Genomic DNA, 26122 nt, shown 5'->3' with positions numbered 1-26122 from the left:
GGCTTGTTTGGGCTTCATTCTATGTGACAAAAATTTTTCATAATGGGCTGGTAAATGCCCCATGGCGTATTTCAAGGAAAAGAAGATAATGATTAATGGTAGGATAGCTTCATGCTAAGGTCAAAACCCCTTTTGTGGAGGCAAATAACACACAAGTTTCTACTTACTAGAGAAGAAATGGGAGGGAGGAGGGGTTCCATCATAGATACAATAAAACAGAGAATGTGTCTTACTCCAAATCATTTCAGAGACGTAGATTGCTCTAGAAACCTAGAGCTAGTTATAGAACACTGGCCTTGAAATGAAACTGCCACTGGGGAAAAATGGAAACAGAAAGGCTTAAATACATTCCCTCAAAGCTCCCCAGGGCTTTTCTTTATGCCCAAGGCATTTCTGGTGGAAACAGCCTAAAGAGACAAGAGCGATGTTTTAAAAATTATCCTCGTTTCTTTGGAACATTGAGAAAAATACTTACATACTTTAGTTCTTCCACGCCTGCCTGCTTTTTGAGTAAAATTTATATTTAAAATATTTTATTTATCTCTCAGTTGGCAAAATCATTTAATTTTGCCACTCTTCTAGAATTTATGTATTTATTCAATATTTCAGCAACTTTAAAACTTCATAGCTAAATATATTACTTAATCATTTATACAAGATGTAATTACTGAGCTCCTACTAGGTTCTAAGGATACAGCAATGAAAAGACTGCCAAGTTCCTTACTCTTCTGAAGGTTACTTTGTAGTTAGGGGAGAGGAAGAACTAAAAAATAAATAAATAAATAAATAAATAATAAAATAGCAGGTGGTGCTAATGCTGTAAAGAATCAAAGTAGGGCAGTATGATAGAGAGGGACAGGTGGCTACCCTAGACCGACCGGTCAGGAAAGTCCTCTCTGATGAGGTTAACAGCTGACCTGAGAATTGAATGACAAGAAGGAGCCAGACATACAAAGATCAAGAAGAAAAAGCATTTCAGGCCGGGGAAACAGCCAATGCAAAGGCCCAAATGTAGAATCATTGTGGTCTCTTCTGGGGACAGGAAGAAGATCAGGGTGGGCAAGTGGGACGGAATGAGTTCAGAGGAATAGGCATGGACTAAATCCCAGTCCAGAAATTACGATCTATGGCTGGACGCTTGATTGAATTGGGAAACATCAGAGCAACACATTTTAATCTGATTCTAGCCTCTTGCAATTAATACTTCTTCTCCTAATCTGTCCCCTTCCAAAATAGCCTGCACTTCAGTGGCACATTAATTGATTCAACTTCCTTGTTCAAAAATTGTCTTATAGACACCATCTGCTCTATAGAAAAAGTTCAAATTATTTAACTTGACATTTACAGACCTCCAAAAACTTACACTAGCTAAACTATCCACCTTTATGTCCCCTGCTCCACTAATGAATACTCTCCTCTAGCCAAACCTTTTCTCCAACACTCCTTTTATTTTATCCTCTTGATTTTTTTCTCATGCCATTTTCTATTGTTCAGCAAGAGCTTTTCCTCCTGTCACCAAATTCATATCCACTTTTATTCATTAAAATATTTTTGTAACTAGCAAAAGAAAACCCAACACAAAGTGGATTAAACAAAAAGAAATTTCTTGGCTCAAGTAAACTAAAAGTCCAAAGTAAAGCACATTCAGGCACAGTTTGATTCAGAAGTTCATGATGTCATTTATTTTGAGATGATCTTGGCTCTGTGTGTTGATTTCATTCTCAGGCTGGTTTCCTTCAGAATAGCAGAAATGGCTGCAAGAGTTCTAGACCCTGTGCTCAGTTGAATCGTGTTCCCCCCAGATTCCTGTCCATCTGGGACCTGAGTATGTGACCTTATTTGGAAATAGGATCTTGGCAGTGTAATTGCATTAATATGAGGTCATATTGAATTAGGATGGGTCCTAGTCCGGTGACTGGTGTTCTTACAGGAAGAAAGGAATATGGATTTAGAGACACAGAGGGAGAAGGCCAGGTGAGGACAGTGGCGGATATTTGACTGAGGCAGCCACAAGCCAGGGAACACCAAGGATTGCCATCAACCACCAGAAGCTAGGAAGATGGAAGGAAGAGTTCTTCCCTAAAGCCTCAGAGGCACCTCAGAAGGCACATCACCTGTCAGCTCCTCGATTTTGGACTTCCAGCCCCGAGAACTATGAGAGAATAAATGTCTGTTGTTTGCAGACAGCCAGTTTGTGGTGATTTCTTACAGAAGTGTTAGGAAACTAACACAGGCCCCCGTTGCTCATGGGCCATCCAGGAGAATAGAGAACCATGTATCTGGCAGCTCCCATGCAAAAGAGCAAAAACTTCTTTTCAAAAGCCTCAGCAAATTTTCCTTGTTTCTCTTGTGCCCATGTCTGAATCAATCACTGCATCCAGAGAACTGCCATCTGGAGCTGAAAGAACATCTCTCCTGTTCAAACCACATGGCAAAATGGTGGAGGAGGGATCTCCAAAATAAAACCAGGGTTCTGTTGCCAAGAAAAAAGGGAAAGAAATGCCAAGAGGGCAACCGGCTTATGTCCACTCTACTATTGAAGACAGGATGATTTTGGCTGAAAGTTACAGAAAGCCTTTCTCTCACTGGCTAGAGCATTGAGAGAATATATTGTTTCACACAATAGGTGATCTGGAGGCAGATCAAACTTCAGGCACCACAGGAACGGGCTCCAGATCTGCATCTCCCCTGTTCTCCAGCCTCAGCCTTCCTGCAGGTATCAGCTTTGTCTTCATGCCATCTCTTAACATGGTCACCAGAAGAAACTGGGGCAACTGATGATGTCTTTTTCATGTCCAGTGGGAGAGAGTACCAATCTGATGCCCAATCATGAAATAAACATCTTTCCTCTTAGACTGCTTGGACCCAAACTTGGATGGAGTTTGCTTTTCCTGAGATAAGTGTGCTGCACTCCTGTGCCCATTCCTAGATCAATGCCAATTGCTAAGGAACTACAATTTACTGATTGGCATAAGCCTAGTTCTCTGAATGAATCATGAGGGAAGAGATGTTACTATCACTGGCTTGGCATTAGACTAATTAGGATTCTCCCTTGGAGCTTAAGAGGGAGTTTGCTTTCCCTGAAACAAGTGTGCTGTATGTGGGATGGTTTCTAAAGTATGAAAAGAAGAGTGAATAGATGCTGGTTAGGCAACTAATTCAGCCACCACACCATCCTTCCCAGTACATATTGGATCCTGCCTCCTCCATGAAGTCTCTCCAGATTACCCAGAAGCAAACTCTTAGTCTCTGAATTCTTTCAGCACTTACTGCTCATACTAATATTTCACATTTACCTTATATTCTTTTCTTCTTATTCTCCATCTGCTTTGAATTACCTTATATTCTTAATAATACTTTTATGTACATATTTCTCATCTCCTGACTTAAATTCTTAAACGTGGGGTGTTACCCTTCCCACTATGTTGCAATATATCTAGCACATTACCTTGCCCAGAATATTTTATGCTCAATAAAAACCTGTTGCTTAATTGACTTTTAACAAGCAAAAAGAACCAGGCAGCCTTTAAATTTAGCAGGAGACATGTAGATCCAGCTCACTAGTTCAGTTCTTTCTTCTTCCTAATAGAAATCTCCCCTTGCTCATTATCTCCCAGGAGTCGTTCATGAAGACATATTGGTAATTCATCTGTACTTAATAAAATGGTTAGATTTTGGACCTAATTAAATAGTGAGAAACAGTGAAAATACATGACTTGACTAATATTTTGAGTAAAAATCTGGACAAGATACAAAAACTAAAGCAGGAATACAAATTTCATTATGGAAGCTGAATACGGTAAAGGAAACAAGACCTCTCCAATTGGAAAAAGATGTTTTAGTCACTTTTTCTATTTTAATAATAAGAAGCACCATTGTGCCTATCCACTCAAACTATAGATTTTTCAGCATCTTCTAGGTCTAACCTAGCACTCAGACATGAATGTTATGAGTTCCATTGCTCAACACTATACTTTTAAATTTGTATTCTCTCTGAAAAATGATTTTATCAGATTTAGTAGGAGAACTTTTAGAATGATTTCTTAACTAAAATCTCAGTGATCTAGCACTTTGATTAATAATTTATTAACAGAATTGTGACCACCTTGAGGATATCTTGAGGACATCTGAAATTTTCTCTACAAATAAATTTCAGTAATTCTGATGGTAATAGTTACCATTAATGAAAAATGTAATGTCCTGATTTAGACATTTACTATGGTTTGAATGTTTTTCCCCTCCAAAATTCAAGCTGAAACACAATCCCCGGTGTAACCATATTAATAAATGGGGCCTTTAAGAAGTGATTGGGTCATGAGGGTTCTGCTCTCATGAACGGACTAATCCATTCATGGATTACTGGATTAATGGGTTAATGGATTAATGTGTTATCATAGGCTTGGTTTAGTTATCAGAGGGCGGGTCTGTTATAAAAGCCAGTTTGGCTCTCTGTGATGCTTTCTGCCAGTTATGACACAACACAATGCCCTCACCAGAAGCAACCAGAGGCAGACCCTCGACCTTGGACTTCCCAGCATCCAGAACTGTAAGACATGAATTTCTTTTTTAAAACAATTACCTAGTCTCATGTATTCTGTTACAGCAACAGACAATGGACAAAGACAATAGACAACCAAAAGCGATAAAAGAGGTCAATGTTTTCAAAAAGAATTCATCTTCCAAAGAATGAGAACAAACAAATTATTTACTAAAAAGTAGAAAGAGTTGAGGCTCAAACGTCTAGATGAAACCACCTTATTTCCCTCAATGGGAGCAGGAAAATTGGATGCACACTCTCATATTAACCTTTCTCTAGGTTAGTGGAGATAATCAAGCCTGACTTGAGTGCTGAATATGCATTACCACTTATTTACTACCTGCGTAAACTTTGTTCTTATTTTATAAAAGAATTTGAACCAAGGATGAGTTGGGCTTTAATAGTGATTCAAGTCTCCAGGAACATTTAATGTCCACTGGCCATCTTCAAGTCACTAGACTGAGTAAGGCAAGAATACTGCCAGTAGGTTCAAAACCCAAATTTTAGTTCTAAGCATTTCCAGGGCCATCCTTCCCTCTTGTTTTCAAATTAGGTAGATATTTAATTCTTCTGTAGACCAGCTTTAAGAACTAGGGGAGGTGGGAAAGGAGACAGGTGGAAGGAGAGTATTTCAAACACAACAGCATAAAAATGGTCTTGGCTTGACAGTGACTATTTCTAAGCCATCAAATTAGAAAAAAAGCGGCTCAATTTGAAACTAGAGGATGAAGCCCCTGGTGGATTATAAATAATAAGGCCCTTCTTACCTAGCAAGCTTTTAGAAACAATAGAATGTAGTGTGTTCAGGAGGCCGTAGGCCTGAGTCCAAATGCCAGCTCCGCTCCTTGCTGTGTGACCTTGAGAGGTTGCCTAACGTTCCCAAGCTTCAATTTTCATATCTGTAAAATGACAGTGATAATAGTACTTACTTTGCAGGATGGCAGTGAAGATTAAATTACATAATCCATGTGAAACAGCTAGGAAAGGGCCTGGAATATATTAAACATCCATAAATGCTAGCTACTATGACAATTACTAGGGGGAAGCCAGCCTGCTTTGGGCCCACTCTACAGCCTCTGGCCCAGAGCTGTCAGCCCACCCTGCAATTATTTACAGACAGAAAGGGCTGCTTCACTCATTTCTCACTTCCTTGCTTCATTTTGCTTCTAGAATGGTTTATGTCAACGGTTTCATCCAAAGAGATGAAAATAATAATGTCTATTTACATAACATTATCCTTGTTTTCCTTCTTCCCTCAGAAATGCTCTGGTATTATCAAATTAGTTGCATTTTGAAGATGACATCCACTAGAACTAATCAAACTCAACAATCTTTGTTCCTTGATATTACCCTGGATCCTCACCCATTAATGTAACAGCTGCAGTATTTTAAGGGAGACCGGGAACACTCCCACTGCAGACTGTCTGCACTTGGTGACTGCAATCATGATTATTTACTGAATACTAATATTCTGTATGTGTTCTGTGGTTTAGCTTTCTAATGCCAGTGCTTATTCAAGGCAGAGAATAATAAATCGTCAGGGAGGAGAGTTGTTCCTGCTTAATCCAAAATCTAGTTCTCTCTAGTTGTCTGCTAATCTTTATAACATTAAACTCTTGCAGACCAAATTTCTGAATAGATAAAGTGAAAGATAACCATTTAAATCTTAAACCTCTTGAGATATTGTGGTTTCTAATAAGATATATATCTTTGGTCTTCCTCCCGGCTTCCTGACACACAACTCCTAGAACCTCTGGGGTCTCCAGAGTGACAATAGTGTCACTGTATGCTAATGAGATGGCCAGTAGCTGCCAGCCCCTGGGTAGCTTCAGGATGGGCCTGCTCACTGAAAAGACCAAAACACAATGAGAGGGTTAGGACTTTCAGCCCACTCCCCAACCTTTGGGGAGGAGAAAGGTGCTGAAGGTTGAGTGGATCTGCAATGGCCAATGATGGTAATCAATCATGTCTACATATAAAGTCTCCATAAAAACCCCAAAGGACAGGGTTCAGAGAGCTTCCAAATAGCTGAACACATGGAGGTTCCCCAAAGGTGGTGCGCATGGGGAAGGCATGGAAGCTCCCACCTCTTCCCCCAAACCTTACCCCACGCATCTCTTCCATCTGGCTGTTCACCTGTGTCCTATATTATATTCTATATCAATAAACCAGTAAACATAAGTAAAGCATTTTTCTTAGTTCTGTGAGCTGCTCTAGCAAATTAATCAAACCAAAGGAGGTGCCATGGGTCAGAAGCACAGGTCACAACTTGCTCGTGACTGGCATCTGAAGAGGGGGGTAATCCTGTGGGACTGAGCCATCAACCTGTGGTATCTGATGCTATCTCTAGGTAGATAGTGTCATAATTGGATTGAATTAGAACATACCCAGCCAGTGCCCACAGGAGAATTCCTTGCAGACTTGTTTCGGTTGGTATGTTAGAAAAACACCCACACACCTGGTGTCAGAAGTGTTGACTGACTGCGAGAGTACAGAGTAGAGAGCAGGAAGCAACAGTTTGGTTTTTTCCCTATATCCTTGTATCTCTTGAGCATCAAACTGGGATTTGAGCATTGGGTAATCTTCTATTTCTAACAATGAAGTGCTGTTTGAATTTTGTCACTAGGTCTGAAACATATATCTGATGATGTCCTGTGCATTGAAACTTCCTTTGTGTTTGAGATGTTACTGACCCTGTTACTTCTTTTGCTTACAAATGTCTCCAAAAAAACAGGAGCAAAATAAAACGCCCTTACCTCATTCCCTTCCCTCTGGGCTGTAGCTCGATAATTCTAACAATGTCTGCATGACAAATGAAAACTTCATTATTTATGTACTTTTCGTACATGATAGAAAACAGATAAACATTTGGTATTATTTAGACTAAGGTTTCAGATGTTTGGCTGAAATTTCATCTTTATATTCTGCTTTTTATCTTAATATCTTGGTGGAATTCCATTCAGAGCCTATATTTATACACACCATTCAAGTGGTAGAAAAAATAATTTAACACAAGGCCACCAAATTGAAGTGCCTTTACAAATCTGTTATTCTGTTGAGAAAGGTTTTTACTTTTTCAAACCAACTGCTGCCACTACTGCTAATGATTATTACTCTGCTTTTTTTTTTTAATGCCGTCTAGCTTTCTTTCTTCCAAAATGTGATATATGCTTCATATAAAAATTCAAATAGTGCAGAAAAGCACAAAGAAGACAGTAGAAATCACTTGAACTCCCCTTCTCTGAAGACAGCCACCATTTATTTATATTTTGCTGAAGACAAAATCTTGTCCTGAAGATAAGATTTACATTTTGCCTTTGGGACTTCTTTCTATGAACATGTACATGTAAATGCGATTGGACATAATGTCCTCAACTTGGCCTTTCTAGTCAACAATACTTTTGGACATTTTTCTATGCGAATACATGTAGCTCTGCATCTGTGATTCTCATTAAGTCCTTCTTTCTCTTCTAGATAAGAGTATGATGCATAAATTGAATGACATGGAAACATGTATAAAAATAGAGAGACATCAGCATCATAATTCATAATATCATATATCCACTGAATTGATATGCCATACTTTTTTAACCTTATTCCTTCATGGTTGGTGTTTGTTTTCAATAATTTATAATTAAAAGTTTTTTGGGTCTTTACTTCCTTCAAGTTTTTAATTTTTTAACCTATTTGTAGATACTACTTTTATCTTTACCCTGACTCTTATCTATGGTCTGAAATATTTTACACTTGAGAAAGCAAATTCTGATAGCACTGGATCTGTTCAATTGTAAACCCTTTGTTTGATGCCTTTAATCTATTAGAAAGGGAGTGCCATTCCTTGATAACATGTAAAGCTACCTATGCGAAGTAAAATCTTTATTAGAATATGAAGATTTGTTCTTAACTGACTTTCCTATCTAGCAAACAATTCAAGCTAATGGAAAATTGTTGGTTTGCGTGCCAGTTTTCTTTTGGTAATTCTGATAAATTACACAAGCTTATGCAGTTTCCTTTTTATGCTGGTAAGCTCAAGATTTATCAGGGCATGTGGTCACTCATCATTATATTCCAGTCCTCAAAAGTTAACACTTGAAATAAGGTTGAAAAATTTACCTAAGTTATAGGAACAATCTAATTAGTTAGATCAAAATTCATTTTCAGAAAGGAAGGCAAAGGGATCTATTCGAAATTAGCATTTCAATTTATGTTTAGAAATATTCATTCTTTTGGACAAACTTCCATATATTTACTCTGCCTTCCAGAGAGAGAGGCAAATACATGTATCATTCACTCATTTATTCAACCCACTAGGCTGTGATGTGCACATCATTGTCCCAGCAGACGCTGTACAATTAATGGTCCCAATATACACTGATGTCTTGAGGCTGGGCTAGCCTCAATGTTTTCAGTCTTTACCTGGTTGGTTTCTTGACTTGCTCTTGAGCCAAGTCCATTCTCTTTTCACAGCCATGCCTCTTTCCAGATGAGTCCAGAAGCTGAGTAGTGGCTCAAAATATATCTGACTTGAAGTGAGGAGACCTGAGTGGGATCCCTAGGGAACCTTGACATACATCTCAGAGTTGCTATAATATATTCACATCAAAATGGGGGCCATTTCACCAATCTCACAGAGCTTTTGTGAGTGCTAAATAATGTATACGAAAGACTTGGACACACTGAGGGCCTGTAGGAAGTGTTGTGCTGAGCTACTGTTTCCAGTGTCAAAGCAGAATAATAAAATTCCTTTCTGCTTGCTATACTGGATGGTTCAAGCCACAAAAGAAAAACAATAGGTAAATCCATCCAGATCCATGTAACTCTCACCTAGCAGAGAATTTTAAGACTATTATTTTCTTGAAAGCCAGACTCCCCTTTTTCTTTTTTCAACACATTGAAAAATATGACGTAGAAAACCAGAAAGCAGACACCTTCATTTAGATGCTTCACGGCAGTGGCTAATGTTTAGTTCCTGATTCTTACATCTTCCCTGGTTCTGAATCACATTTCATAGGTCCATGTATGGTGATTGCATGTCCTTTATTTAAGAGGAGAATCTTAAAAATCAAGGATGGAGAATCTGCAATCTTAGACTTGATTTTATCTTGCCCGTGGCGTGATGGTGCTTTGGCTACCTCCACCAATAACCAGAAAATCATTTCTCCTTGTGGCGAGTTGCTGCTGTGACTGTCTCATTCAGAAGAAAGCTTCTCAAGAAACAGATATTAGAGCTGCAAACAACATTGAATCAGCTAATGATTGTGGCAAAATATGTCCCTCATTCCACAGCCCCAAGGAATGGGAGAAGCAATAAGAGGATATTTTTGACTAAGGTTCCTCTTATTACCTACCTATCTTCCCATATTTCCCATGTTTCTCCAAGTATTTCTGACATCTTAAAGTTTTCCATCTCCAGTTCAAGTCCCGTCCTAATCCTGTATCTCTCATAACAGAGTACATTGTAGATATAAATCATTTTAGTCATTAGACTCACACAATCTTAGAGGAAAAATCATTATAATCATTTACTCTGACCCTCTCCTTTTCAGATGAAGAAAGGATGTCAGAACTAAAATTTATTTTATTTTGTTTCATTTTTATTTTTTGAGATAGGATCTGGCTCTGTTGACCAGGTTGTAAGTGCAGTGGCACGATCATGGCTCACTGCAACCTCCGCCTCCCCGGCTCAAGCCATCCTCTCACCTCAGCCTCCCAAGTTGCTGGGACTACAGGCATCACCATGCCTGGCTAATTTTTGTATTTTTTGTAGAGATGGGGTTTCACCATGTTGCCCAGGCTGGTCTTGAACTCCTGAGCTCAAGCGATCCACCCGCCTCAGCCTCCCAAAGTTCTAGGATTACAGGTGTGAGCCACCACGCCTGGCCCAGAACCAAAATTAAAATCAGGTTCTGGGACCTCGAGTCCAAAGCGTTTCAAATTTGCTGTATTTATGAAGTAAATGTTGAAGTTACCCATAGTTAGTTTTAAATTAGGTGAGCTAAACATTTCCTGTTTGTCTAGGGAAGAAAAGAAAAGACAGAAAGGCTTCTCTGCCTACCCTGTGGCATCATGCCTCATCTAGGACAGTGTATCCAGCCTCCCACAATTCATGTCCACTCCAGCAGTTGGACCCTTTTATTGATGGGCTATATCTACACCTGATTAAAAAGTGGAGAAATTCAACCAAGTGACTGATAGTCCTGAGTACCCTTTTTTCTGTCTAACTTAACAAAATCTAAACCTACTGTCTTCACTTTCCAGGCAAGAAATGTCTGTTTATGATTCCTGCCCTTCAGTGACTGGTAATGAATAACCATATGTGGAAATCAAAGTCTATATTGCAGTGTTTTGACAAGCATCTTTGTCCAATATCTTCTTCTCATAGGATATTAGATTTTATTTGAATTCTCATGCCAATTTTTTGGCCTCTGTTAGAGTATTGTATATTTAAGAAAGGCATTATTTTAAAATTATGGTTTTTATTAAAAATTACTTAGGTTTTTTCTGTATTTGCTATTTTTTTGCAGTAAATTGTGATATTTTCCTATTCTTATTATAGGAAGACAAATTCACTTTGGGAAGGTAAATGTTACATTTTAATAAAAGTCAGCTTACAGTTTAGATGGGGATAGTGAACCTAAAAGGGGAACAAACAGTTGTAAACTTTGACATTTCTCATTCTTCTTAACTGCAGCATAAGATTTACCTTTATTTTTTAATATTGGAGAACTTGCCATGTAAATCCTAACATGTGGATGAACTAAATACCTGGGGAGTTCATCATCTCTCACAAACTAAATCCAGAGAAAAAACTTCCTGACACAAGAAAAAACTGCAGTTAAATGGAAAACAAATAAAGCAAATGAAAATTGGAATGTGGAGCATTTTGCATGCCAGATAAGAAAGGGCATGTGACAAAGGAGAGCCATTTCTTCCATTTGAGATTGGAGGGGGAAGAGTCCAAGGCTAGAATCATGTGGCTGACCAGGCTCCTGGGACTTCCACATCTGCACAATGGATCATGCAAAGGTGAGCTACATAACTAAATGAAGTTTTTACTTATAAATTCGCATAGTTCATACAGTGGACATTTATCATCTTTTTAGGTGCTCAGCATCTGCACTTGTTTAGGGATTTTTTCTATTGTGAGTCATGGTGGGAAGCAGGGCCTACCTTCCACTACAGAAGTGGAAGAGAGCAGATAGCAAGCTTCTACTCTCCAAGGAATAAAGTGCAGGTGTGTTGCCTGTGCTGCCAACCAGGTGCTCTCACTCAGGTCTTAGAGACTGGAACAATTACGGTAATAGGGATTCACTCCAGCTGCACAGACCACAACACCCAGTGACCATCAGTAGCCGTGGAAGCTGAGGGCCTGAATCTCTAGAAGCCCTCGCTACTCAAAGTGTGGTCTGGGGACTTGTTAGGAAGGCAGAATCTGGGACCCACCCTAGACCTACTGAGTCAATATATTATAGTGCCTTGCACATAGTAGGGCCCTAATGAATATATCTTGATGTATAGACATATGAAAATATATTGAAATTTGATCTTGTGGAAGCTATCTGAATTATATTTCTTCAAAATATAATTATGTAAACAGCCCTTAACCCAATGACTGTACTCTTGAAAACATATTACATGATATTGTGTATAATAAATTGCATTTTACTTGCATTTCATTGATATTTAAAAGACTCTTCCAGTGAATCCTTCTGTAAATTCATTATGCCTTTTTAAAGTGAATAATCACTCCTTCATTTATCTGTTGTTAACATATGTTCCCTAAAGCAGGGCACACCCACAGTAAAGATTACTGTAATCATATGAGTTGTCACTGAGATGACCAGTGGAATTCTCTGCATGGCCCTTGTTATTTTGGTCCTTGTCTGTCTTTCTTTCGGTTCCTGAAGTGCCAGCTCCACATGATCTTGGTGTGTACTAACACATAGCTAAGCAACCAAAATGGATAAGGAAAACAGTTCCCTTTACAAGGTCAGCCAAGTGCTGTAATTCCAAAGCACTGCACTGTATTCGGCTACCTACAATTCCTGGACATTGAGGGCAACCTGCCCTTCCCGTTGGCATTGTGCCAGTCTTAAGAGCCTTCAATGGCCATCGCAAGCCCATGTTGGTAGAGTGCCACTAATACAGTGCCTGAGAGAACATAAAGCTCTCCCACTCTCACCTGGAAGAGGATGGCTCCTGAAAAGCAAACTTATTGTTTAAAAGCATTGTTGAAACAAGCTGGAGAAGCAATAGAGTAAGAATTGTGAGGAGGGACAGGAGCTGTTACAACTTTGCAATCAGACAATCAGCCAGTTACCTTCTTAACTGTGTTCTCAGGGAAGTTCCTTAACCCCCTAAGACTTCAGTGTCCTCCTAGATAAACTGCAACTAGTAAGGATGCTTATCTAATAGGTACCATGGGCAGTAAGTGTGAGAATGGATATAAAATACAGTATCAGACGCATCATTATTGCTCTAAAATTATTAGCTATTATGATGGTTATATTTCTACTGCACATGCCAGCTCATCGACAATTTATGAAGCCTTTAAAACCAGGCTTGACAACACATATGGCATAGATAACAGGATGATTTTCAGTGGCTTAGAATTTGACCCCATCCTCCTGCTCCCAAAACCACAACTTTTAAAAGCTGTAGCCACCATAAATTTTAAGAGGTGTCGTGTTGCAGATAAATAAACACAGACTTTGCCCTCAGATAGATAGGGATTCAAATTTCAGTATCATAGATGAGACTTCCCTTTTCCCTTCCTAAAGATATCCAGATTTTTTATTTAGACATCAGTCCCTCCTCCCCACAACCCACATGCTTCAGGGGAACTGGCCCAGACAGTAGACTTAATGGGCCTATGGGAAATTCCAGCCCCCTTGCCAGGGTGATTGGCTCAAGAATTCAGGCCTCAGCCAATGAGGTCATTAATCCCCTGAGACAAGGACTGATTTAATAATAGACCAATGATACGTGAGGAGGGAAGTAGCAGTCACGAGAATGCACCCAGAACACCTCCTTCTATGGCAGCATAATTGACCAAGGGCCCCAGCTGCTGCACTTTGGAATCCATCCCCAAGTTTGTGAATCCTAAGGAATACTAAGACAGACTAATTTCTGGGAGACACAACTCCTTTGTCAGCTGATTTGGGGTGAAGGATTCCCCTAAGATTTGCTTCGACTGCACAGTATAAGGCACTTCCATTCGGCCTTTCTCTCCCTTTCCTTTAATTGAAGTCAAATTTCCATCAGTGCCTGACGCTCTTGCAGCCTTCCCAGCTCCCTGCCTATTTCCATTTACACATTCATTTTCCCTAGTAAAATCCGAGCACATATCAGTCCATCTTAACATCTGCTTCTTGAAAGACCCTGACTAACACCAAAACTTTCCCGGAAATTTTGAGGAAATAAGTTTCTTTGTTCTTAAGAGGTAGGCACTGGGGAAATGCTCTTTTTTGCTCTGGATTTTATGAATATCATGGAAAGCCTAGAATTGCTCCAGCCATTTTCCTAACAAGAGTTGTCTTCTCCAGGTTAAATATTCCTAGATTCTTCTACCTTTCTTTATACTAAATGGTTTTCAAACCACTTACTATTGACAGGTGACAGCGTGCTGGCAGTCCTCACAGCCCTGGCTCGCTCTCGGCGCCTCCTCTGCCTGGGCTCCCACTTTGGCGGCACTTGAGGAGCCTTTCAGCCCACCGCTGCACTGTGGGAGCTCCTTTCTGGGCTGGCCAAGGCCAGAGCCGGCTCCCTCAGCTTGCAGGGAGGTGTGGAGGGAGAGGTGCGAGCTAGAACTGGGGCTGCGCGCAGCGCTTGCGGGCCAGCTGGAGTTCCGGGTGGGCGGGGGCTTCGCGGCCCCGCACTCGGAGCAGCCGGCCGGCCCTGCCGGCCCCGGGCAATGAGGGGCTTAGCACCCGGGCCAGCGGCTGCGGAGGGTGTACTGGGTCCCCCAGCAGTGCTAGCCCACCGGCGCTGCGCTCGATTTCTCACTGGGCCTTAGCTGCCTTCCCGCGGGGCAGGGCTCGGGACCTGCAGCCCGCCATGCCTGAGCCTCCCACCCCCTCCGTGGGCTCCTGTGCGGCCCAAGCCTCCCCGATGAGCAACGCCCCCTGCTCCACGGCGCCCAGTACCATCAACCACCCAAGGGCTGAGGAGTGCGGGCGCACGGCGCGGGACTGGCAGGCAGCTCCACCTGCAGCCCCTGTGCGGGATCCACTGGGTGAAGCCAGCTGGGCTCCTGAGTCTGGTGGGGACGTGGAGAACCTTTATGTCCAGCTCAGGGATTGTAAATACACCAATCAGCACCCTGTGTCTAGCTCAGGGTTTGTGAATGCACCAATGGACACTCTGTATCTAGCTACTCTGGTGGGGCTTGGAGAACCTTTATGTCTAGTTCAGGGATTGTAAATACACCAATTGGCACTCTGTATCTAGCTCAAGGTTTGTAAACACACCAATCAGCACCCTGTGTCTAGCTCAGGGTTTGTGAATGCACCAATCGACACTGTATCTAGCTACTCTGGTGGGGACTTGGAGAACCTTTGTGTTGACACTCTGTATCTAACTAATCTAGTGGAGATGTGGAGAACCTTTGTGTGTAGCTCAGGGATTGTAAACGCACCAATCAGCACCCTGTCAAAACAGACCACTCAGCTCTACCAATCAGCAGGATATGGGTGGGGCCAGATAAGAGAATAAAAGCAGGCTGCCGGAGCCAACAGTGGCAACCTGTTTGGGGCCCCTTCCACGTTGTGGAAGCTTTGTTCTTTCGATCTTTGCAATAAATCCTTCTGCTGCTCGCTCTTTGAGTCCACACTGCCTTTACGAGCTGTAACACTCACTGTGCAGGTCCGCAGCTTCACTCCTGAGCCAGCAAGACCACGAACCTACCAGAAGGAAGAAACTCCGAACACATCCCAACATCAGAAGGAACAAACTCCGGACGCGCCACCTTAAGAGCTGTAACACTCACCGCGAGGGTCCGCGGCTTCATTCTTGAAGTCAGTGAGACCAAAAACCCACCAATTCCAGACACACTATCCTGGGGGTACGTAGAAATGAGAACAATTAGAGAAAACAGAAAGTGTAGCGAGACTATTCTCCTTTGCTTCTCATATTGCAGCATTATATGGCTTGAGCTTTTGGAGGAACTGTAAATCCTTTTTTTAGGAATTTGGTAGGCATCTCCACATATTTGAAAAACTGACACATACAATGCAACAATCAAATGTTGATTCGTTAACTCTTTGGTAAATAGAGCAGCAGAGAACCTGGACTCCAGAGCCAGACTGAGTTTTACTCACAGCTCTGCCTCTTGCAAGATGCGTGTGCTTGGAAAATTTAATTAACCTCTCTGTGACTCAGCATCCTTCCCTGTAAAATGTTCTTCTACCTCATAGTCTTCTGTGCGTTACTTGGAAAGTTCTTAGACTAATTGTATCATGTAGTAAGTGCTAAGTTAGTATTAATTTTTTTTTTTTTTTTTTTGAGATGGAGTCTCACTCTGTCACCCAGGCTGGAGTGCAGGGGCACGATCTCGGCTCACTGCAAGCTCTGCCTCCCGGGTTCACGCCATTCTCCTGCCTCAGCCTCCGGAGTAGCTGGGACTACAGGTGCCCGCCACCACACCTGGCTAATTTTTTTTTTTTTTTTGTATTTTTAGTAGAGACGGGGTTTCACCTTGTTAGCCAGGGTGATCTCAATCTCCTGACCTCGTGATCTGCCCGCCTTGGCCTCCCAAAGTGCTGGGATTACAGGTGTGAACCACTGTGCCCGGCCCTTTTTTTAGTTTTTTGAGACAGGGTCTTGCTTTGTCACCCAGGCTGGAGTACAGTAGTACAATCACAGCTCACTGCAGCCTTGACCTCCTGGGTTTCAGCGATCCTCCTACCTTTGCCTCTCAAGTAGCTAGGACTACAGGCAAGCACCACCACACCTGGCTAATTTTTTTATTTCTTGTAGAGATGGGGTCTCCCTGTGTTGCCCAGGCTAGTCTTGAACTCCTGGCCTTAAGCAATTCTCCCACCTTGGCCTCTCAAAGTGCTGGGACTACAGGTGTGAGCCACTGTGCTCGGCAAATAATTAAATAGTTTAAAGCACCTATTATTTGCCAACCCCTGGCCATGCTGAGAGTAAAACTAGGACAAATAAATGAACATCAGAGGATTCCCTTTTAAGTAAATATTTCTAAGAATAGAACAGCTGTACAAAAAATAAGACTGCTGACTTTAGCCAGGTATGTGTCAGGGATGTTGACAAGAGGCATTCTAAATAGTCTTTCAGCTCTCAAATTCCAGAATTCAACTTCTGAATTCCAAAACTAAGATGTCACATCATACTAGATCCGAGGTTGGCAAACTTTCTCTGTAAAGTGCCAATAATAACTATTTTAGGCTTTTCAGGCCTTGCAGGTTATGTTGCAACTATTTAACTTTGTCACTGGAGTGTGAAGACAGCCATAGACAATGTGTAAATGAACAGGCAAGGCTGTGTTCAAATAAAACTTTATTTATAGACTCTGAAATGTTAGCTTCATATAATTTTTGTGTCACAAAATGTTATTCTTTTTTAAACTATTTGAACCATTCAAAAATATAAATACCATTCTTATCCCACAGACTGTGGTCGGGCCAATGGGCCATAGTTTGCCACCCCCTGTGCTAAATGAAGCAAAGGAAAAAGGAGGGTCCTAGTTAAGGATGAGATGTGAACTGTGGCTGAGAGTTCCCAATGACAAGCAAACAGCTCAGGGGAGGAACTAATGCAGAACCATTCTTACTATCATTGGCATAAAAGAAGTTCTAGGACACAAGAAAAAGCAAAAATTGCAGTGAGCTGGGGTTTTGCCATATTTGCAACAATCTTTGTTGAGTTTGTTTTATCTGAATAGTAGGGTATACACTCTTCCTGTCTTCTATTTTTATAAATTTTGAATAACAATTCTTTGCTTATGAGACAGTCTTGTATTTTTTTTCCTGCATTCCCTAACCTCTTTGAAGGATATCTACTTGGAATATGTTTAATTCTCAACTTCCTTCTTCTCTTCTCAGAAATAACTATCCTAAAGGGCAGAACTTATTATGAATTCCACCAGCTCTCTTAACTGGCTTCAAATAAAATATATTTAAGGAATTGCTGACATGTTACCTTTTATTACTTTTTTTTTTTTTTTTTTTACTGCTAACAGGAGCAGCCTGGCCCTAAAAGAGACTTGTGCGTGACCCCAGGAGACCCACTGACATGGATCAGGAAACTGCTTTAGAATCCCAGGAACAGGGCTACGACCAAACTCCGTACTCTCCCATTTGCCTATCGTGTCAGTATCTCTGTATTGTCACTGGTGTATTAAAAATCTTGGCCTAAACAAAACAAACAAACAAAAATGAAATCCTGCTGTTTACCTAGTTTAGCTGCAAGGACCAGAAAACTCAAAATAACAGTGGCCTAAACAAGATAGACATGCATTTCTATCTTACCTAAATGAAATCAGTAGGTGTAAAAAGTCCACAACTGCTGTTACGGCAGTCTCAAAAAGTCCTCGAGGGTCTAGACTCAGCCTCCCTCTTCCCTCTTTGCCATCACTGGAGTGGTCCATGTTCCAGTCCACAAAGTGGGGAAAGAAAAAGGACACGGTTTTCTCTTAGAAAAGGTGTGAGAAGCTGAGAAACATTTCTGTTTACATCTCATTGGCCAGAATGTAGTCACAAGATCAAAATCATACCTAGCCACAGGGAAGCTGGAAAAACCTAGTCTCTCAGACGAAGGAGTGTCTTTGAGGGAATGACAAACTGTATCTGTCTACCATGCTTGAAATGCAAGAGTCCCATCAGCTAGGGTTCATTCTTGGGAACCACTTCAACTTGTCTTCTTCAGAGAAGCACTTCAGTGGGACCAGAGAGAACACTGTGCATCCCAGGATTGCAGCCACTGGACTCCAGCAACTCGAGGAAGAGGCAGCCATTGATACCAGACCTAGAATTCACTAAAGGTCAATGCCTTCAGGAATTTTCATCTGATTTGATGATTGATGCCCTCCCCATCATGAGCCCCAGGAAGTCTCCCATGCCACGTGAGTCTCTCCCCTTCAAACCTCTCACTTATAAATCACAGAGGGATATAGTAGGCATATATTCTTGTTTTGAAGGGAAATATTTACAACTTCTTGTAGGTAAGTCACATAAGTCCTGTGAATAAATACACATTCTTTTCTCCACTTTCCCCACCTCCAAAATGTTTCTAAAATTCTTCTGGAATCTCTTCTGGAATCTAAATGTAACATCCGTTCATTTTCTTACTATATATTTTGCAAGTGTTTTTCACTTATGGAATCATCAGCTTTGGCTTTAAATAATAAAAAAGGAACCATCAGGCCTTTTCTTTAACCTGAGTGTAAGGTTAACCTGAGTGTAAGGTACAGTGAAACAAGCAAATACCTCCAAGACATCTGGACACCATTAAAATCACATTGCTCTGGCAAGGGAGGGTGAAGAGGTGAGAGGATGATTCATGTACTCAGATAAATAAACCTGCCAGAGAGACAAAGCTTCTTGTGGTTTAGATTATCTGATGGTTTGTTTACAACGAGTAAACAAAGAGGTTAATTCCCTAGTTTTTCATTGTTATGTTTTTTGTTTGTTTTTGTTTTGTTTTGGTTTTGGTTTTAAGGAGCAGAGGGTTTAATAGGCAAGAGGGAAGGGAGAAAACAGAAGGAAGAAGCTCCCCAGTACAGAGACAGAGGGTGGGGGGCTCCAAAGCCACGAAAGGAGGTGGCAAGTGTGGTGGACACCAGCCAGGTATAATATGCAGAGGCTGGAGGAGGTTGTGTCTCATTTGCACAGGGCTCAGGGGATTGGTTTGACCAGGCATGTCATTCACGTGGCCCTGGAAAGAGCTGGCCCTCCCACCCTAGCCTTTTAATATGCAAATGCAGGGCACCATGATGTTCTACACACGTGGGGATATGTGGGGGCGGTCATGTTGCCAGGAACACGTGTGCCAAGGGCAAGAAGGCTGCGGGAATCACCATGTTGGGTAGACCCAGTTTCTAAGGGTCTGCTTAGATTTTCCTTTACTATACTAGAGATGTTAATCCAAAAGCAGCATGTTTCATTTAAAAGTGCATCACTAGACCCAAAAAGAAGTCCTAGCAGACTCAGTGATAGTAAAACTTTCATGCTTCCTTTTTGTCCATAACTATTATCCCTGCTATAAAGATAATAAGCAAAATACAACAGCAATGGAAACTTTGTCTAATATCTCAGTTAGAAGGTGCTACTGTGTATAACCCTATTGCAAATAGTAGAAGGAGTATAGCAATTCCCACAAGAGTGGTGTAGTAGATAATTTCCATGTAAAGTTTTATTTGCCAGATACAGAATTTCCCGTTGGTGGTTTATGAAGCCTTGGTTTTATTTTCCCAAACAAAGAAACCTCCGGGTTATTGGTACCCTACTTACTTTTATTACCGAGCAGAATTTGCAGGATAATTGCCCAAAACTAGTATATTGGTCCAGATTTTTACATTACCCATCCCTTTTTCTTTCTTCCAAGCTGCAGGAGATTACCACTTGATTCACAGGAATAAGCAGGGTTAATCTAAAATGTAGGCAAAAAAGCTTAAAAACAATTAATGAGACTAGGATTTAATGACAAATGCATGATAAGCTTTGGAGCGAAATTTTTCTCTCCAGTCCTCATTTTTGGTAAAAACTAATTATGAATGAACTTTAGTCTTATACTTGGCTTGATTATTTGCATGAAGTGCAGCAAGAATGGTTATTTCCACATAGGCCTTTTGGATTGGCTTTGATGAAACTCTGTTCCATCAGGCAATCTCAGATAAGACCTTTAAAGCCGAGCCCATCCATGGGTTTGTATCCTCAAATACCCATGAGTTGGGTGATCCTCTCCGCTTGAGGTCCCAAGATAAATTCCGAGCTTCCACACCAGTCTGATGATTGAATTTCCTTTCCCGGCCAACACACCAAAATGATAAGGCTCTGATAAGTGGAGGAACACCAGGGTTCTTGGTCCTCATGTCAAATTAGAAAAAATGACACGGACACACGTGGAGTGGTTTTAAGGAGTGGAGAGTTTAATAGGCAAGAAGGAAGGGAGAAGACGGAAGAAGCTCCCTCGTACAGAGACAGAAGGAGCAGGGGGCTCCAAAGGCGAAAGAGGAGGTACCTCCTTGCTGTTTTTGTTTAAACACAGATTATAGTCCCAGAGAATATACTATACAAATGACATAAACTAGAGGACTTAAATGCACACTTTTACACTAGGTTAGCACTGAGCTTTCTTTTTTTTTTTTTTTTGAGATGGAGTTTCACTCTGTTGTCCAGGCTGGAGTGCAATGGTGCGATCTCAGCTCACTGCAACCTCTGCCTCCCAGGTTCAAGCAATTCTCCTGCCTTAGCCTCCCAAGTAGCTGGGATTACAAGCACGTGCCACCAAGCATGGCTAATTTGTGTGTGTGTGTGTGTGTGTGTGTGTGTGTTTATTTTTAGTAGAGATGGGGTTTCACTATGTTGGCGAGGCTGGTCTCAGACTCCTAATCTCAAGTGATCTGCCCGCCTCGGCCTCTCAAAGTTCTGGGATTACAGGCATGAGCCACCGCTCCTGGCACTGAGCTTTCTCTTTGCTGTTTTCCTTTAAAATGTCTGCACAATGGGTAGTGTAAGGAATAGCTCTAAACTGGGGGAATTTTGCAGGAAATTATCTTTACCAGACCTACATAATTAGATACTAGAATGGTGATTGCAAAGCTGAAAGCAGTTGATTTAGGTACCTTACTTTAATCGTAATCGCAAATATTCTGCTACATTATAGTTGATAAGTTTAATAAATAAATGGTTAATGTTTATCTGCACCCATCTTCTGTAATGTCATATACAAATTTTTTGTTGATAAAAATTAAATCTACATTAGAGCATAAACTATATATTTTTGCTACCTTTTAGTTTAAGCCAAAAGTTCTAAAATACAGAGACATAACTACAAAGTAGTTTTGAGACTAATTTCCAATCTTCCCCAACAATTTTGTTTTCTTCATCATCTTTTCTATCTATTTATCTATCATCTATTTTTTTAAGGCTCTTCCATTCCACATATATAGTGAAAGCCTAGCTAGGCAAGATTCCTTTTGGTTGACTGAATCTTCCCCACCAGCATTCCCTCACCCCATAAGATGTTCCTGGTCCCTCCAGAGGCAAGCTTCTTACAGTTCTCAGGCTCAGATGGCCCTGTCCCCCAAAGCTCTACCTCCTCAACTTTTCTCCTGAGGATTGAGTCTCTCTCCTTTCCCCATGCAAGCTCTCCACGGAGGAAAGTCTTGGTTTCTCTTTGATGACTTGGCCTTCCTATAAAAATTGTAGAGAAGCTGATTAATAACAGCATGAGGGGACTTTAATTAATTCACTTTCTCCCACCAGGCATTAGACATATGCAGGCTGTGCTACAGCTAAACTTTAAATAACCAAGAAATGTCAAAAGAGAGATGTGGCATCCACATTCCCAAGATGATATGGTGCAGGAACAAGCATTTGGCTGGGTTTTAGGAACCTTGTGTTCCATCCTCCCTTCTTCTGCCACAAACACACTGATGGCATGAGGTGGGTCCCACTGATAATGTGCATGGCACATTCTTTACAAAGCATCTTCAGATCCATAAGGAAATCCCATCTTCTGCCTGAGCTTTATTTTGTCCCACATCCACTCCCCCACACCATCCCACACACCATCATTATCCCAATTCCTCCAGCTTGCCATCACTCTAAGCAGAAGATAATATTTTAAATTAATCTTCCGAGGCAGGCGGATCACTTGAGGTCAGGAGTTCGAGACCAGCCTGGCCAACATGTTGAAACCCGGTCTCTACTAAAAATAAAAAAAAAAAAATAGACGGGCATGGTGGCAGGCGCCTGTAATCCCAGCTACTCGGAAGGCTGAGGCAGGAGAATCACTTGAACACGGGAGGTCGGGAGGTGGAGGTTGCGGTCAGCAGAGATCATGCCATTGCACTCCAGCCTGGGCAACAAGAGTGAGACTCCATCTCAAAAAAAAAAGGAACTACAACTTATAACTACAACTTATATAGCACCTACTACATGCTACCTATAGCAGTATTTAAAGTTACCTCCTTTAACACAGTGTTCTAGAGAGGTGGGCATCATCAACCCCATTTCACAGGTAAGACCTGGAGCTTACATTTGTTGTTTTAAGTCACAAATCCACTTCAAGGTGGAGCCTGAATTTGAGCCTATCTGTCCATGCTGTCTACACTACACTCTCTAAGCAGCAAATGTCACTCTGGTTTTATTTTCCACACTGTGATTTGGTCCTTCCTTTCACATTCTTGCCTACATAATTATTCTGTCTTCTTTAAACTGCCACTCTCGTCTCCAAAAGAGAAATCACTTTTTAAACTTAAAGTAACATAGAGCAAACACTACCATTTTGAAACGGGAGCACCTCTCCCTGGCTCCCACAGCACACCCTGAATCTGGTCTATGCTGGGTTTGTCTGGAGAACTAGAGGCCGGGCAAAGATTGTGGACAGCTGTGCCTTTATGAGGGTCAAAGTCTGCCTCCTAGGACTGTGAACAGAAAGGAGGAAGTTTACCCATGGCCATATGCTGACTACACAGTGTCCTCCTTCCCTCCTCTCATTCTGAGTCACCAGGGAGTCCCGTCTGTTTTTCACAGGTTCCAGCTGAGGCACCCAACAGCAATGATGTTTTGTGAAAATAGTGTGTGATTTGGATGCAAATGATCCTGGGTTCAAGACTTGCTTCTGTAAAGAAGAGAATACCACACTCTCCTCTCCCAGTCATGTGGGGAGTTAATCGAAACCCACGGAAAGTGCATTGCATAAGGTGGGTGTCTGATAAATGCCCACACCTTTGGCTTCTCCTCTACTGATAACTCTTTTTCCCTCATCTTCCTGATGTAAAAGGTGAGTGGGAGCCTTTATGCCTTTCCCTGAAAGTAGAAGCCAGCCTCACCCCAGCCTGTGAGGCTGCTGAACCAGCCTCTTGCCCTTTCCTGCGTTTCTCAGGGCTTCCACCCTCCCCTCAGGCCCTTTCACCTCTCCATGTCATCTCTTTATTCAGTTCTCCACCAAGCCTTCCCCGCTACCTTCAGGAAGCTTTGCAAACTGGCACGAAACCCTAAATTCACAGTATAGAGTCTGGAATGCACTCCCCACTGCTTGGTGATCCGTCATACCATACTGTTTTCTGCTTATCTTTCTCTAAGACAACCTGTACCCTCAATCTGGTGCCACTTAACATGGCAATAAGAGTGTAGTAAGTAGGGCCACTTCACATGGTCTCATTTATGTAGATGCTTGTTCTTTCAAGCTTGTCACCCCCAATTCAGTATCTACTATAGATACATTGACAGGGCTTGGAAATTGACCAGAGTATGGTCTTCCGTGCCTTCAAATTGCTGTGTGGGGCTTCTGAGAAGACAAACTTTGGAAATTGCCCCTCTTTTGCAGAGGATTCAGCGGAACTCAGGAATATGCCAGTACCCACCTACCCTGTGATAGCCAGCCTCTAAAATAGTCTCCAGCGATTTCTGGCTTCCAATACTCACACTCTAATATGGTCCCCTCCCACACTGTATCAGGGTTGGTGTGTAACCAGTAGAGTGCAGGAGGAGTGGTAGATACCACTCTGGAAGAGAGATTATGGATGTCATTTGGTCCTGTCTTGCTTTCCCTTGGATCACTTGCTCTGGTGGAAGCCAGTGGCCAGTCTCATGGACAGTTGGGCAGCCCAGTGGACGACCTAACAGTTCGACTGCCACTTCATGGAAGACCCTGAGCCAGAACAAGTTAGTTAAGCTGCTCCCAGATTCCTGACCCTCAGAAACAGTGTGAAAGACAAATACCAGACTGACACATTTTTGGCAAGTTTTTGTGCAGCTATAGATAACTAACACAAACTTTCTATTCCAAATTGCCACTATTTACCTCCCCCTGCAGAAATGTCCACCACTTACAAAGGTATAGCTGAAGCCCATCTAAGGTGAGCCAACTTTACTTATAATTGAAAACAAATTATATGTACTTTAAAAGTATTTGAGCACCATTTTATTGCCAAACAATACACCCAACAAAGTCAAACAACCTAACTTCCCTTAACAAGAATATCAGGTTTGTCTATATTATGATTGGAAACAAACATAAATTATATTTGTTTTCCTAGACAGTCTAAGGTTTCAATGGGTTGCTGTAAAAGAATTTGAAGAAAGCTGCACCAACTGGTGTTTTGAAATTCAAATACCCTTAGTTTAAGCCACAATAAATGAAATAAAACCAGTACATGAAATAAAACCATCACCCTATAAGATTGTTTTTATCATCCAAAGAGAACGCCTCTCACAATAGATTGATGTCATGTACATGACGTAGTTCACACATTCCACTGTCTTCTCTTGACTATTCACAGTGTGCTTGGCACTTGTGTTACCGATAGAAAGAAATATTTCCTTCAGAAATTCAGAATCAAGATCATTTAGAGGGAAAATAGTAGTAATCCCAATCACCAAGTCACTATTTTGCATTCTGCTTTACCTAGAAACTATTATATATTATATACTTTAAAATAGTTCATATACATAAAGTATTGTAACCAGAAATATTAATTTATAACTATTTGCTCCATGGAGATCCTCAAAGCAAAAGATTAGGAATGAAGCAAATTTCAAGGAATTTAAAATCAGGGATTTTATTCTAAGTTAGAAAGAAATGGCAGCCATCACTGGTTCCCTAATCTGTAAGGCCCAGTCCAAAATGAAAACACAAGCCCCTTCTTCAAAAATTATTAAGAATATTAAGAGGACAGCTAGAGCATTAAACTAAGCCCTGGGCCTCTGAGCATGGGAACCTATGAGATTGCACAGGTCATATGCCCATGAAGCTGGCCCTGGGGGCAGGATACATTTTGTAGCTTCTTGAAGAGGTCTCTCCAGAGGTAGGTGCTAGAAGCAAAGGACAGGTAGGACCAGAAAGCATCAGTGTATGGTTACTGAGTGACACAGATAATCCTTTATTTATTTAACAGTAACTAATATTTCTATTGTACTTTATAGTTTACAAAGCTCTTCTGCCAGATCCAGTATCTCATGTATTGAAGCAACAATTCTATGAGATATTCATGTCACCCCTCTTACATACAAGGTGAAGTTGGGTCCAAAGAGGTCAAGTGACTCATTGAAGGCCACTCAGCCAGCCAGCATGGGACCTAAATGCAAGTCATTTGACCTCAAATCCAATTTTCATTCCACATGCTCAACACAGCCTGGTGCTAAGAGTTGTGGGTTACAAAGAAGCACAGAACATGAGGTCTGCAGTCTAGCAATTATTCACTAATGAAAGATGGAAGGTACACAGATGGGCATTGACAGTTTGCGTTTATGGGTTGTTTTCACATCTGTGGGTGTGACACAACTTCACGGCAAACACCAACCAAATTCCAGGTTCTGATTCCTAATTCCTTCTCATCTAACCAACTACCCTCCCTCCAGCAACAGCGTCAGACCTTAGTTCTCCAACAGTTTCTGG

General features: G+C 41.4%; 1 long non-coding RNA gene across 1 annotated transcript; it reads left to right on the top strand.

The window, feature by feature from the left end:
- The first annotated feature begins 4466 nt into the window (after positions 1-4466).
- On the top strand, positions 4467-24895 carry LINC02421 (long intergenic non-protein coding RNA 2421). Its single transcript, NR_110063.1, has 5 exons — positions 4467-4546; positions 11229-11563; positions 15401-15599; positions 17739-18620; positions 23257-24895. It is a non-coding gene; the product is annotated as a long intergenic non-protein coding RNA 2421 (long non-coding RNA).
- Positions 24896-26122: the final 1227 nt, after the last annotated feature.

Source organism: Homo sapiens, chromosome 12 (assembly GCF_000001405.40).
Source record: "Homo sapiens chromosome 12, GRCh38.p14 Primary Assembly".
Lineage (NCBI taxonomy): Eukaryota > Metazoa > Chordata > Mammalia > Primates > Hominidae > Homo > Homo sapiens.
The sequence above is the reverse complement of the archived record's forward strand: the minus strand, read 5'-3'. Positions and strand labels throughout refer to the sequence as shown.